The sequence below is a fragment of the Homo sapiens genome, chromosome 7 (assembly GCF_000001405.40).
Source record: "Homo sapiens chromosome 7, GRCh38.p14 Primary Assembly".
NCBI classification, from domain to species: Eukaryota; Metazoa; Chordata; class Mammalia; order Primates; family Hominidae; genus Homo; species Homo sapiens.
In genome coordinates this window covers 74816508-74830416 of record NC_000007.14, presented here as the reverse complement: position 1 = coordinate 74830416, position 13909 = coordinate 74816508, and the positions used below count along the sequence as shown (strand labels likewise).

Below are 13909 nucleotides of genomic sequence, written 5' to 3'. Positions count from 1 at the left end.
TTCTCCTGCCTCAGCCTTCCAAATAGCTGAGATTACAGGCATCTGCTACCACAGCCGGCTAATTTTTGTATTTTTTAGTAGAGACAGGGTTTCCCCATGCTGTCCAGCCTGGTCTTAGACTCCTGACCTCAGGTGATCCGCCTGCCTCTGGCTCCCAAAGTGCTGGGATTACAGGCGTGAGTCATCGTGCCCAGCTTTTTTTTTTTTTTTTTTTTTGAGACAGGGTTTTGCTATATTACCCAGTCTGGTCATAAATTCCTGGGCTCAAGTGATCCTCCTGTCTTGGCCTCCCAAGTAGCTGAGATCTGCACCTGGCATGCATGCTAAATATTTGGTCAAGGGTTTATTTCTGGACTCCCTACCCTATTCCGTAGATCTATTTGTCTTTATGCCAGTATCATGCTGTTTTGATTACTTTATAATATGTTTTGAAATCAGGAAGTATGAGACCTCCAAATTTGCTCTTCTTCAAGATTACTTCTGTTATTCAGAGTCCCTTGGTGTTCCATATGAATTTTTTTTTTTTTTTGAGACAGAATCTCGCTCTATCGCCCAGGCTGGAGTGCAGTGGAGAGATCTCGGCTGACCACAACCTCTGCCTCCTCGGTTCAAGCCATTCTCCTGCCTCAGCATCCCAAGTAGCTGGGATTACAGGCACATGCCACCATGCCCAGCTAATTTTTTTTTTTTTTTTTTGTATTTTGAGATAGGGTTTCACCATGTTGGCCAGGATGGTCTTGAATTCCTGACCTCGTGATCCACCCTCCTCAGCCTCCCAAAAGTGCTGGGATTACAGGGTGAGCCACCGCGCCCAGCCCCATGTGAATTTTAGAGTGGATTTCTTAATTTGTACGAGAAGTGCCCTTGAGATTTTGATGGGGATTGCAATAATTCTGTAGATGGCTTTTGGTAGTACAGATATCTTAGCAATATTAAGCCTGCCAATCCATGAGCATGAGATGTCTTTCCATTTGTTTGTGTCTTCTTTAATTTCTTTTCTTTCTTTTTTTTTTTTTTTTTGAGAGACAGAGTCTTGCTCTGTTGCCCAGGCTGGAGTGCAGTGGCTTGATCTCGGATCACTGCAACCTCTGCCTCCCAGGTTCAAGCGATTCTACTGCCTCAGCTTCCCAAGTAGCTGGGACTACAGGCATGCACCACCACACCCAGCTAATTTTTGTATTTTTAGTAGAGACAGGGCTTCGCCATGTTGCCCAGGCTGATCTTGAACACCTAACCTCAAGTGATCTGCCTGCCTTGGCCTCCCAAAGTGCTGGGATTATAGGATTATAGGCGTGAGCCACCACGCCCAGCCTGTCTTCTTTAATTTTTTTCAGCAGTGTTTTATTGTTTTAGTATACAGATTTTTCCCTTCCTTGATTAGGTCTATCCCTAAGGATTTTATTCTTTTTGATGCTATTGTAAATGGAATTGTTTTATTTCCTTTGCAGATTGTTCATTGTTACTGTATAGAAATGCAGTTGATTTGGTGTGTTGATGTAGTATCCTGCAACTTTGCTGAATATGTTGGAGTTCAAATAGATTTTTGTGTGGAATTTTTAGGATTTTCTACATACAAAATCATGTATCATCTATGAACAGAGATAATTTTACTTCTTTCTTTCAAATTTGGAGGCCTTTTTTTTTCTTACCTAGTTTAATTGCTCGGCTAGGACTTCCAAAACTGTGTTGAACAGAAGTGGGGAGAGAGGGCATCTTTGCCATTTCTTTTTTTTTTTTTTTCTTTGAGATGGAGTCTTGCTCTGTTGCCCAGGCTGGAGTGCACTGGCTTGATCTCTGCTCACTGCAACCTCCGGATCCCAGGTTCAAGTGATTCTCGTGCCTCAGCCTCCTGAGTAACTGGGATTACAGGTGCGTGCCACCACACCTGGCTAATTTTTGTATTTTTTTAGTAGAGGTGGGGTTTCACCACATTGGCCAGCATGGTCTCAAACTCCTGACCTCAAGTGATCTGCCTGCCTCCGCCTCCCAAAGTGCTGGGATTACAGGGGTGAGCCACCGCACCTGGCCCATCTTTGCTATTTCTGATCTTAGCTATCAGTCTTTCATTGTTGAGTGATATTAGCCATGGACTTTTTATAAATGGCCTTTATTACATTGGTCATTTCCTACCACTTCTAGTTGGTAGAGTGCTTTTATCATGAAAGGATGTTCAATCTTGTCAAATGCTTTTTCTGTGGCAATTGAGATGATCATGTGGCTTTTGTCCTTTATTCTGTCAATGTGGTATGTTACATTGATTGATTTAAATATGTTGAACCATCCTTGTATTTGAGGAATAAATTCCACTTGGGGCCAGGCACGCCTGTAATCCCAGCATTTTGGGAGGCCAAGGCGGGCAGATCACTTGAGGTTGGGAGTTCGAGACCAGCCTGGTCAACATGGGAAAACCCCGTCTCTACTAAAAATACAAAAATTTTAGTGGTGGCAGGAGCCTGTAATCCCAGCTACTCGGGAGGGAGAGGCAGGAGAATCGCTTGAACCCGGGAGGTGGAGGTTGCAGTGAGCCCAGATCGTGCCATTGCACTCCAGCCTGGGTGACAGAGCAAGACAAAAAAAAAAAAAAAAGGGAAAGGAAAAAGGAAGAAAGAAAATTGCAGAAGGAGGTTTCGCAGTGAATTTCAGTGGCACCATACCCACAGGCAGTTTCCTAGGGAGTTCCACCAGTTCCCCAGAGCATGGCTTCCCAGCAAATTCTCTTGGCATCACCCTCCAGGTAGCTTCCAGAGAGTTCCACTAGCACACTAGAGGCCATCTTCCTTATAACGCCCAGAAAGTGTTGCAGGCACCCACAGGGTAACTGTCTAGTGATTTCCACCAGCACCCCCAGAAAGCAGGCCCCTGCTTGCCAGCCACCACATGGACACCCCCACAGGCTTCCCCACTATCCAGTGGGCCGTGACCAAATCCTGTTTAATGAGGTCTGGATCTCGGCCCTGGGGAGCCACCCCATTCCTGGATTTGCTCCCTCCTGGGTCCCCTGCCTTAGCCCAGCAGTCACAGATGCTCTTGCAATTTGCTGCTTATGTTCTCTTTAGAGTCCTCAGTCCCTCTAGCAGCTAATCCCATGTTACCAGTTGACGACTCTTCTAGGAAACTTCACCTGTTGGTGTAAATTAGTACAAGCTCTATGGAAAACAGTATGGAGATTTCTCAAAGAACTAAACATAAACCCCCATTCAATCCAGCAAGCCCACTACTTGGCATCTACCCAAAGGAAAATAAATCATTCTATCAAAAAGACACCTGCCTTGAACGTTTATCACAGCACTATTCACAATAGCAAAGATGTGCAAATCAAGCTAAGCATCCATCACCAGATGACGGGACAAAGAAAATGTGGTACGTACACTATGGGATACTATTCAGCCATAAAAAAGAATGAAATGGCCGGGCATGGTAGTGCATGCCTATAATCCAAGCACTTTGGGAGGCCGAGGCGATGGATCACTTGAGATCAGTAGTTCTAGACCAGCCTGGCCAACATGGCGAAACCTCGTCTCTACTAAAATTATAAAAGTTAGCCGGGGGCGGTGGTGCATGCCTGTAATCCCAGCTACTCAGGTGGCTGAGGCACAAGAATTGCTTGAACCCGGGAGGCAGAGGTTGCAGTGAGCCGAGATCATGCCATTGCACTCCAGCTTAGGCAACAGAGTAAGACTCTCTCAAAAAAAAAAAAAAAAAAAAAAAAAAAAAAAAGAATGAAATGATGTCTTTTGCAGCAACATGGATGGGATTGGGGGCTATTGTCTTTATCATTTGACGTAAAAAGGCAAATGCGGCATGTCCTAACTTACAAGAGGGGCTAAATAATAGGTACACATGGACATAGAATGTGAGGCTAGGTGCAGTGGCTCACTCCTATAATCCCAGCACTTTGGAAGGCCGAGGTGGGCAGATCACTTGAGGCCAGGAGTTCGAGACCAGCCTGGCCAACATGGTGAAACCCTGTCTCTACTAAAAATACAAAAATGAGCCTGGTGTAGTGGCGGGTGCCTGTAATCCCAGTTACTAGGGAGGCTGAGGCACGAAAATCTCCTGAACCCAGGAGGCAGAGATTACTGTGAGCTGAGATTGCGCCACTGCACTCCAGCCTAGGCGACAGAGTGAGACTCTGTCTCAAAACAAACAAACAAAAACATGGTCATAGAGTGTGAAATAACAGACACTGGAGACTCAGGGGTGGGAGGCAGGAGGTGGGTAAGGGATGATAAATTACTTCATGGGTACAATGTACATTATTTGGGTGATGAGTACACTAAAACCCCAGACTTCACCAACAACACCGTATATCCATGCAAGAAAACTATACTTGGCGGGGTGTGGTGGCTCACGCCTGTAATCCCAGCACTTTGGGAGGCCGAGGCAGGCGGATCACGAGGTCAGGAGATCGAGACCATTCTGGCCATCTCTACTAAAAAATACAAAAAATTAGCCGGGCGTGGTGGCAGGCAGCTGTAGTCCCAGCTACTCAGGAGGCTGAGGCAGGAGAATGGCGTGAACCCGGGAGGCAGAACTTGCAGTGAGTGGAGAACATGCCACTGCACTCCAGCCTGGGTGACACAGCGAGACTCTGTCTCAAAAAAAAAAAAAAAAGAAGAAAGAAAGAAAACTATACTTGTGCCCCTTACATTGATACAAAAAAAAAAACAAAAACCTTTCTGTGTTCAAATTACTATGTGGTTTCTCTCTTCTGACTAGACTGATGAAAACAATCAGTTTTAAAACTTTTGGAGGAGCAATTGATTCTGGGGCTGGTCTTGAATGGGTTCAGGGGTATAGTCTTCCTATACAATTATTGCCACGTTTCAACTGTATAGCAAATCAAATTTCTGTTATAAAGATAATTTCTGGATGGGTGCAGTGCCTCACACCTGTAATCCCAACACTTTGGGAGGCTAAGATGGGAGGATCACTTGAGGCCAGGAGTTAGAGGCCAGCCTGGGCAACATAGTGAGATCCCATCTCTAAAAAAAATTTAAAAGTTAGCCAGGTGTGATGGGGCACTCCTGGAGGCTGAGGTGGGAGGACCGCTTAAGCCCAGAAATTTGAGGCTGCCGGGAACTTCGATCATCCCACTGCACTCCAGCCTGGGCAGCAGAGTGAAACCCTGTCTCTAAAAATAATAATTTCCTTAAACTACTACTATTTCTTTATATGTTGATTTTTTTATAGTTCATTAACCTGTTTATCATAAATACAATTTTTTCTTGTTTTTCTTTAAAAGATCTTGTTTTATATTTATTCACTTTTTTCCCCTTTTTTCTTTCAATACCAGAAACAAAGTACGGAAGTGTACAGCACAAATGCTTAGAAACTGACCTAATGCCAATCATCCATTTGCAGGCGTTGCAGAGGGACTGTGTGAGGTGAAACCTCCCTGCCCTGTGAACGGGATGCAGGTCCACTCAGGCGAAACGGAAATACTCAGGAAGGCAGTGGAGGACTATTTCTGCTTTTGTTATGGTAACGTTCACTTTAAGCATTAATTCTATTTTTTTTTTTTTGAGATGGAGTCTTGCTCTGCCACCCAGGCTGGAGTGCAGTGGTGCGATCTCGGCTCACTGCAACCTCCGCCTCCTGGGTTCAAGCGATTCTCCTGCCTTAGCCTCCCAAGTAGCTGGGATTACAGGCGCCCGCCACCACACCCAGCTAATTTTTGTATTTTTAGTAGAGATGGGGTTTCACCATGTTGGCCAGGCTGGTCTCAAACTCCTCACCTTGTGATCCGCCTGCCTTGGCCTCCCAAAATGCTGGGATTATAGGCGTGAACCACCGCGCCCAGCCAAGCATGAATTCTCTAAGTGGTTCACCCAGGAGTAGGACAGTGTCACAGACAGTCTTATTGCCATGACTACTTAGAATGTTTGAACATTTCAAAACCCATATGCTTATCAAGCGAGGAGCTAGTTCTTTTTTTTTTTTTTTTCTGAGAGGAGTCTTGCTCTGACACCCAGGCTGAAGTGCATTGGCACAATCTCAGCTCACTGTAAACTCTGCCTCCTGGGTTCAAGCGATTCTCCCACCCCAGCCTCCTAAGTAGCTGGGATTACAGGTGCCCACCACCTTGCCCAGCTAATTTTTGTATGTTTAGTAGAGATGGGGTTTTGCCATGTTGGCCAGGTTGGTCTCGAACTCCTGACCTCAGGTGATCCTCCTGCCTCGACCTCCCAAAATGCTGAGATTACAGGTGTGAGCCGCCGTGCCTGGCCACCAGTTCTTTTTTTTTTTTTGAGGCAGAGTCTCGCTCTGTTGCCCGGGCTGGAGTGCAGTGGCTCAATCTCGGCTCACTGCAAGCTCCGCCTCTCGGGTTCCTGCCATTTTCCTGCCTCAGTCTCCTGAGTAGCTGGGACTACAGGCACCCGCCACCGTGCCCGGCTAACTTTTTTTGTATTTTTTGGTAGAGACGGGGTTTCATTGTGTTAGCCAGAATGGTCTCGATCTCCTGACCTCGTGATCCGCCCACCTTGGCCTCCCAAAGTGCTGGGATTACAGGCGTGAGCCACCGCGCCCGGCCCACCAGTTCTTAATTACCAGATTAAGTGTTCTTATAGAAGATGATGTGGATCTTGGATCTTCTGCTCTGTGGAAACTTCTGTATTGATCACTCTTTCTTCCTTGATCCCATTTTAGAGAGCCCTGCATCAAGGCCAGTGTATTGCTAAAGACAGTCAATGTTGGCTCAGTCACCTCCCTCACCCCTCAGTTGTCACTCCACCTACCCATGTCTTTCCATAGGCATGAAGATGGGAATTAAAAAAAAAAATACGCTGGGCATGGTGGCTTGAGCCTGTAATCCCAGCTACTTGGGAGGCTAAGGTGGGAGGATCATTTGAGCCCAGGAGTTTGAGACCAGACTGAGCAACATAGTAAGACCCTGTCTCTACAAAATAAAATAAAAATAATTTTCAAAAATCCTTTGCAGTGTTTTAAAAAGCTAGATAACAGGCTGGGCACGGTGACTCACACCAGCTACTTGGGAGGCTGAGGTGGGTGGATCACCTGAGATCAAGAGTTCGAGACCAGCCTGGCCAACATAGTGAAACTCCGTCTCTACTAAAACTACAAAAATTAGTCGGGCATGGTGGCAGGCGGCTGTAATGCCAGCTACTCAGGAGGCAGAGGCAGGAGAATTGCTTGAACCCAGGAGGCAGAGGTTGCAGTGAGCCCAGTCGAGACCCTGTCTCTTAATTAAAAACAAAAACAAAAACAAAAAAAACTAGGCTGGGCTCAGTGGCTCGCCTGTTATCCTAGCACTTTGGCAGGCTAAGGTGGGTAGATCGCCTGAGCTCAGCCGTTCGAGACCAGTCTGGGAAACACGGTGAAACCTCATCTCTACTAAAATACAAAAGAAATTAGCTGGGCATGGTGGTGTGTGCCTGTAGTCCCAGCTACTCGGGAGGCTGAGGCAGGAGAATTGTTTGAACCCAGGAGGTGGAGGTTGCAGCGAGCCGAGATCTTGCCATTGCACTCCAGCCTGGGTGGCAGAGCGAGACTCTGTTTCTACAAAACAAAAAACAAAAAACAAACAAAAAAAAACTGGTAGAACGTTAGGTTCACACCATCCAAAGACGTTTGCGTCTTCTTGTAGGTAAAGCCTTAGGGACAACAGTGATGGTGCCTGTTCCCTATGAGAAGATGCTGCGAGACCAGTCGGCTGTGGTAGTGCAGGGGCTTCCGGAAGGCGTTGCCTTTCAACACCCTGAGAATTACGACCTTGCAACCCTGAAATGGATTTTGGAGAACAAAGCAGGGATTTCATTCATCATAAATAGGTGACACACTCTGCACCCCCGCCCCTTCAGTTCATTTAAAGATGAAACCAATAGCCTAATTTTAATTCACTCGTGCATCCCGCCTGCTGCGTTTCAGAGCTGACTGTTCAGATGTGTCATGCTTTTTTCATTGGTCCGTGCTGGGTAATGGTGTTGCTTTTCTTGCAGACCCTTCCTAGGACCAGAGAGTCAGCTGGGTAAGTGACAGCTTCTCAGGTTTGGTGGCTCTTCTGAGCTGCTGAACCACTTCTTCTTCATTAAAACTTGAATTGGGGGCCGGGCGTGATGGCTCACACCTGTAATCCCAGCACTTTGGGAGGCTGAGGCAGGTGGATCACAAAGGTCAGGAGATCGCGACCATCCTGGCTAACACGGTGAAGCCCAGTCTGTACTAAAAATACGAAAAAAAATTAGCCGGGCGTGGTGGCGGGCGCGTGTAGTCCCAGCTACTCGGGTGTCTGAGGCAGGAGAATGGCGTGAACCCGGGAGGTGGAGCTTGCAGTGAGCGGAGATCGCGCCACTGCACTCCAGCCTGGGCGACTGAGCAAGACTCCGTCTCAAAAAAAAAAAAACAAAACTTGAATTTGGGTGAGGGGAGGGAACTTAGAGGATGGGCCAATAGGTGCAGCAAGCCATTGTGGCACACATGTGCCTAGGAAACAAACCTGCACATTCTGCAGATGTATCCCCCCCTTTTTTTTTTTAGAAGAAATAAAGAATATTTTTTAAAAAAAGAAAAATACATTTGTAGCTATTAAAAAAAAAAAATTGGCCGGACGCAGTGGCTCACACCTGTAATCCCAGCACTTTGGGAGGCAGAGGTGGGCAGATCACTTGAGGTCAGGAGTTCGAGACCAGCCTAGTCAACATGGTGAAACCCCATCCCTACTAAAAATACCAAAGTTAGCCAGGCATGGTGGCGGGTGCGTGTAATCCCAGTTACTCAGGAGGCTGAGGCAGGAGAATCACTTGAACCCGAGATGTAGAATTTGCAGTGAGCCAAGATTGTGCCACCGCACTCCAGCCTGGGTGACAAAATGAGACTGTGCCTCAAAAATAAATAAATAAAGAAGAATAAAAGAAGATGTCTTGCTGAGACTGCCTAAGTGGAGTAAGGAGACGGCAGGGGTGGGGGGTGGCACAGTTCACAAGGCACCTGCTGGGTGTATGACATGCTTCAGTTCTTCTTAGCCGGGGACTAAACACAGTGGAAAGTCTGTTTCGGGAGGGATGGTGAGTTCCTGTCATCCTCTAACTCACATTAAAGGACAAATGAGAGGGGCAGGGTGGCAGGTGGCCATGGATTGTTGTCCCAACTGACTTGTATCATCATCATAGAAAAACAATAATACAGTGGTCCCCCCTTATCCTCGGGGAATATGCTCCAAGACCCCCAGTAGATGCCTGGACCCATGGGTAGTACAGAACCCTTCATATACTATGTTTTTCCCTAGCCATACCTACCTAAGAGAAAGTTTAATTTATAAATCAAGCACAGGCCAGGTGTGGTGGCTCACGCCTGTAATCCCAACACTTTGGGAGGCCGAGGCGGGTGGATCATCTGAGGTTAGGAGTTTGAGACCAGCCTGGCCAACATGGTGAAACCCTGTCTCTACTGAAAATACAAAAATTAGCCGGGCGTGGTGGTGCGTGCCTGTAGTCCCAGCTACTCGGGAGGCTGAGGCGGGAGAATTGCTTAAACCCGGGAGGCAGACGTTGCAGTGAGCCGAGATCGTGCCACTGCACTCCAGCCCAGGCAACAGAGCAAGATCCATCTCAGTAAATAAATCAATAAATCAAGCAAAGTAGGAGATTAACAGCAATAACTAAAGATAAAATAAAATGATTATAACAATATGCCTTCATTACTACTCTTGCACTTTGGGGCTATTATGAAGTCAAATAAAGGTGACTTGAGCACAAGCACCCTGGCCTTCCCAGGACTGTCAGTCTGATAACAGAGCCAGCTACTCAGTGACTAGTGGGAGAGTAGTGTAGACAGCGTGGATTGCAGGACAAAGGGATGAGTCACGTCCCAGGCGGGACGGCACGACACTTCATCACGCTGCTCAGAACAACGTGTGATTTCAAACTTCTGAATTATTTCTGGAATTTTCCGTTTACTCTTTGCAGACTTTGGTTGACCTTGGGGAGCAAACCGAGGACCGCGAAACCACAGATCAAGGGGGAGCTCGTGTCATAGCAGCTCTAACTTAGTGCTTACAACATGCAGGCACTGTTCTAGTCATTTTGCGTATATTCATGAATCCTCCCACAACCACCGTGTTCACGAGGAAGCGGAGGCAGAGGGAGGTTTAGTGAGTTGCTGGAGGCAGCCCAGCTGGTGAGCTGAGGCTCAGCCGCACGACCGTGCTCTGGCCCCAAAACACTCCTCGGTAACCCCCATCCTGCCCACACAAATGGCCCCGGAACACAGCGGCTGCTTTGAGTCAGTTTCTCTCTCGATGACTTTTCCACGTTGGCTTCGATCTGGGAGTTCCGTTTTCTGTGTATTTGCTGTCAATTTCTATGCCTTTGGATGTTAGTCATTTTCCGAGGTGCTAAAAGGGGCTGGTGTGTGTTTTTTCATTCCTCTACAGGTGGCCCTGGGATGGTAACAGATGCGGAGAGATCCATAGTATCACCAAGTGAAAGGTAAAAGATAAATCACAGCAACCAAAATCCACAACTATGCACAGCGTTCGTTTTTGGATGACAGAAAGGCCTCCTTACAGCATTTAAGTGGAGTGTAAAGGGTTAATGTGCTTCTTCCCTTCCTTATTTTCTATCCTATTCTTTGTCCAAAAGGACCTTTGGAATTAGAAGACTACTTTCGGTAGACACGTTTAATTTGGGAACAACTTATTAAGACATTAATGTTAAAATGGAGGCATTGTTGCATTTGATTGAGGGGAGGAGGGGGATTTGGTGCTGCGGAGATCCAGGGCATTTGAGCTCATCGTGTCCAGGCGGCTGTGCCTGGTCCTCACCCTGCCCATCTGACCAGGGTTCCCTTCTCCTTGCAGCTGCGGCCCCATCAATGTGAAAACTGAACCCATGGAAGATTCTGGTGGGTACCAAGATGCTTTTAGAATCAAGTATCGGCCAAGCGTGGTAGCTCACGCCTGTAATCCCAGCAATTTGGGAGGCCGAGGCAGGCGGATCACTTGAGGTCAGGAGTTCAAGACCAGCCTGGCCAACATGGTGAAACCCCGTCTCTCCTAAAAATACAAAAATTAGCCAGGCGTGGCTGTGCGTGCCTGTAATCCCAGCTACCAGGGAGGCTGAGGCAGGAGAATTGCTTGGACCTGGGAGGCTGAGGCTGCAGTGAGCTGAGATGGCGCCACTGCACTCCAGCCTGGGTGACAGAGCAAGACCCTGTCTCAAAAAAACAAACAAGGCTGCGCACGGTGGATCACGCTTGTAATCCCAGCACTTTGGGAGGCTGAGGCGGACAGATCGCCTGAGCTCAGGAGTTCAAGACCATCCTGGCCAACATAGTAAAACCCTGTCTCTACTAAAATACAAAAAATTAGCTGGGCATGTTCGTGTGCGCCTGTAGTCCCAGCTACTTGGGAGGCTGAGGCATGAGAATTGCTTGAGCCCGGGAGGTGGAGGTTGCAGTGAGCCAAGATCGCACCACTGCACTCCACCTTGGGCTACAGAGTGAGATTCTGTGTCAAAAAAAAACAAAAACAAAAACAAAAACAAAAAAACAAAAAAAAAGAACCAAGTATCTAGCAGGTTATCATTTGACACCTTTCTTTTGTTTTATCAAATAAATAAATAAATAAAGACCAGGGCGTGAATTAACCTCAGTGGAGCCTCATTTGCAGAACCATTATTTTACTCAAATATCTAGAAAACAAGCCTTGGCAGGGTGTGCGGGCTCACGACTGTAACTCCAACACCTTGGGAGGCCGAGGCAGGCAAATTGCTTGAACCCTGGAGTTCAAGACCAGCCTGGGCAACATGGCGAGACTTCATCTCTGCAAAACATATAAAAAATGGTGGTGCATGCCTGTGATCCTAGCTACTCAGGAGGCTGAGGTGGGAGGATCGCTTAAGCCCAGGAGGTTGAGGCTGCAGTGAGCTGTAATGGTACCACTGCACTCCGGCCTGGGTGACAGAGAGAGACGTTGTCTCAAAAAAAAAAAAAAAAAAAGAGAGAGAGAGAGGGAGCCTTCTAATTCAGTACATAATAGGGACTAAGATGTTATTAAATACACATACTTTTGGACAGAATATTATTTTATTTATAGTTGAATGAGAACCTGAATTTGAAATGAGTAAAACATTTTGAATATAAATTTGGAATTATTACTTGACTCACAAATAGAGCAGTGTTTTCATTTTTGGACATATACTACTGCTTTTTTGGACTTTTCTGTCATTTCTAAATGTTTTACAATATAGGTACATTACTATGACAGTGTATACTGGAAAAAAAATCCCTCTTCAATGGGGTTGACCCCATTCTTGCTTCTCCTCACTCCTCAATAAAAGAAAACCAGCATTAATTAGAGGAAAAATGTTAACAGGTTAAGATTAAAAAAAAAAAAGCTTAGGCCGGGTGTAGTGGCTCACACCTGTAATCCCAGCAATTTGGGAGGCCAAGGTGGGCGGATCACTTGAGGTCAGGAGTTTGAGACCAGCCTGGCCAACATGGTGAAACACTGTCTCTACTAAAAATACAAAAAATTAGTTGGGCATCATGGCAGGCGCCTGTAATCCCAGCTACTCAGGAGGCTGAGGCACAAGAATCGCTTGAACGCAGGAGGCAGAGGTTGCAGTGAGCCGAGATCACACCCCTGCATTCTAGCCTGGGTGACAGAGCAAGACTCTGTCTCAAAAAGAAACAACAACAACAAAAATAATTTAAAACCCAAATGTTCAATCAAGGGATGGGAAAATACTGAAAGCATTAAAAGTTGAAAGGTTCACGCCTGTAATCTCAGCACTTTGGGAGGCTGAAGCAGGAGGATCGCCTGAGTCCAGGAATTTGAGACCAGCCTGGGCAACAAAGCGAGACCCTGTCTCTACAAAAAATATTTATAAATAAAAAATTAGCCAGACATCGTAGCACGCACTTATAATCCCAGCTACTTGGGAGGCTGAGGTTGGAGGATCACTTGGGCCCAGGAGATAAAGGCTGGAGTGAGCCATGATTGCACCACTGCACTCCGGCCTGGGTGACAGAGCGAGACCCTGGCTTCAAAGAATAATAATCATAATCCAAAAGAAAAACAATATTCTGTGTTAAGAAACAAAGACCTGGCTGGGTCTAGTGGCTCACGCCTGTAATCCCAGCACTTTGGGAAGCGGAGGCAGGCAGATCACCTGAGGTCAGGAGTTTGAGACCAGTCTAGCCAACATGGTGAAACCCTGTCTTTACTAAAAATACAAAAATTAGGCGCCACCACGCACGCCTGTAATCCCAGCTACTTGGGAGGCTGAGACAGGAGAATCGCTTGAACCCAGGAGGCAGAGTTTGCTGTGAGCCGAGACTGCGCCATTGCACTCCAGCCTGGGTGAGAGTGAAACTCCGTCTCAGAAAAAAGGAAAGAAAGAAAGTTCTAGAGAAAAGAAAAATAGAGCCTTTAGCATGAGTAAAATGAAGGAAGGACAGCAGCGTCTCTAAGACAGTGAAGATGTGGTTTATGCTTCGCAGTTCCTGGGATTCCTTGGGAGGGTCCAGGGACACAGTGGATGGGTCTCCTTGGCCCGCCTCCTCCTTTGTCACACCCAAGGATCTTTTCGCCACAACTGTGGGTGCACATGTCCCCTTCCACTCCCATGCAAACAAGTGCTTAGCAGAAGCTCCAGCTTCAGATGAGAGTCTGAACAAAAAATGGTGCTTCTCCTGTGCAGTGTGGTTCTAGGTCAAACCAAGACAAGTTGAATGGAAAGAAACGGGCGCAGTATTTCAGCTCAGCACAATTCAGCTGTGAGCACAGGTCAGCTGTGGAATCTTGGTCTCGTTTCTGACGTGACAGGCCTCAAACTCTTGCCCACTCAATATTAGCCTTGGATGTTTTCAGAGCTCAGATATCTTCTGCCTGTGTCTTACCTGGTCACAGAGAATTAAAAGAATACCCCAAGCCACAGGCTCCACA

The 13909-nt window shown here is 46.8% G+C and overlaps 1 protein-coding gene across 23 annotated transcripts in view, besides 2 other annotated features; it reads left to right on the top strand.

The window, feature by feature from the left end:
* Nucleotides 1-13909, top strand: part of GTF2IRD2 (GTF2I repeat domain containing 2) — a 55455-nt gene that overhangs the window by 21189 nt on the left and 20357 nt on the right. For 10 of the 23 annotated variants that reach the window (NM_001388082.1, NM_001388081.1, NM_001388080.1 and 7 more), the window contains 5 exons: nt 5365-5484; nt 7610-7793; nt 7962-7990; nt 10394-10448; nt 10820-10863. In NM_001388082.1, the coding sequence (NP_001375011.1) occupies nt 5365-5484; nt 7610-7793; nt 7962-7990; nt 10394-10448; nt 10820-10863 (432 nt within the window). Of the gene's footprint in view, nt 1-5364; nt 5485-7609; nt 7794-7890; nt 7991-9779; nt 10449-10819; nt 10864-13909 lie in introns of those variants that run through there. The other 13 variants (NR_170888.1, NR_170887.1, NM_001388461.1 and 10 more) reach the window with 4 other exon arrangements.
* Nucleotides 1-13909: part of a biological region, named in NCBI's record as "Williams-Beuren syndrome medial block B recombination region", that runs on past both edges of the window. NCBI's record gives its function as "recombination_partner: LOC106029311 | LOC106029313".
* Nucleotides 1-13909: part of a non allelic homologous recombination region, noted in NCBI's record as "sub-region SSN9'-SSN11', recombines with sub-region SSN9-SSN11 within the WBS centromeric block B recombination region", that runs on past both edges of the window. NCBI's record gives the evidence for it as "EXISTENCE:restriction fragment detection evidence [ECO:0001124][PMID:12796854]".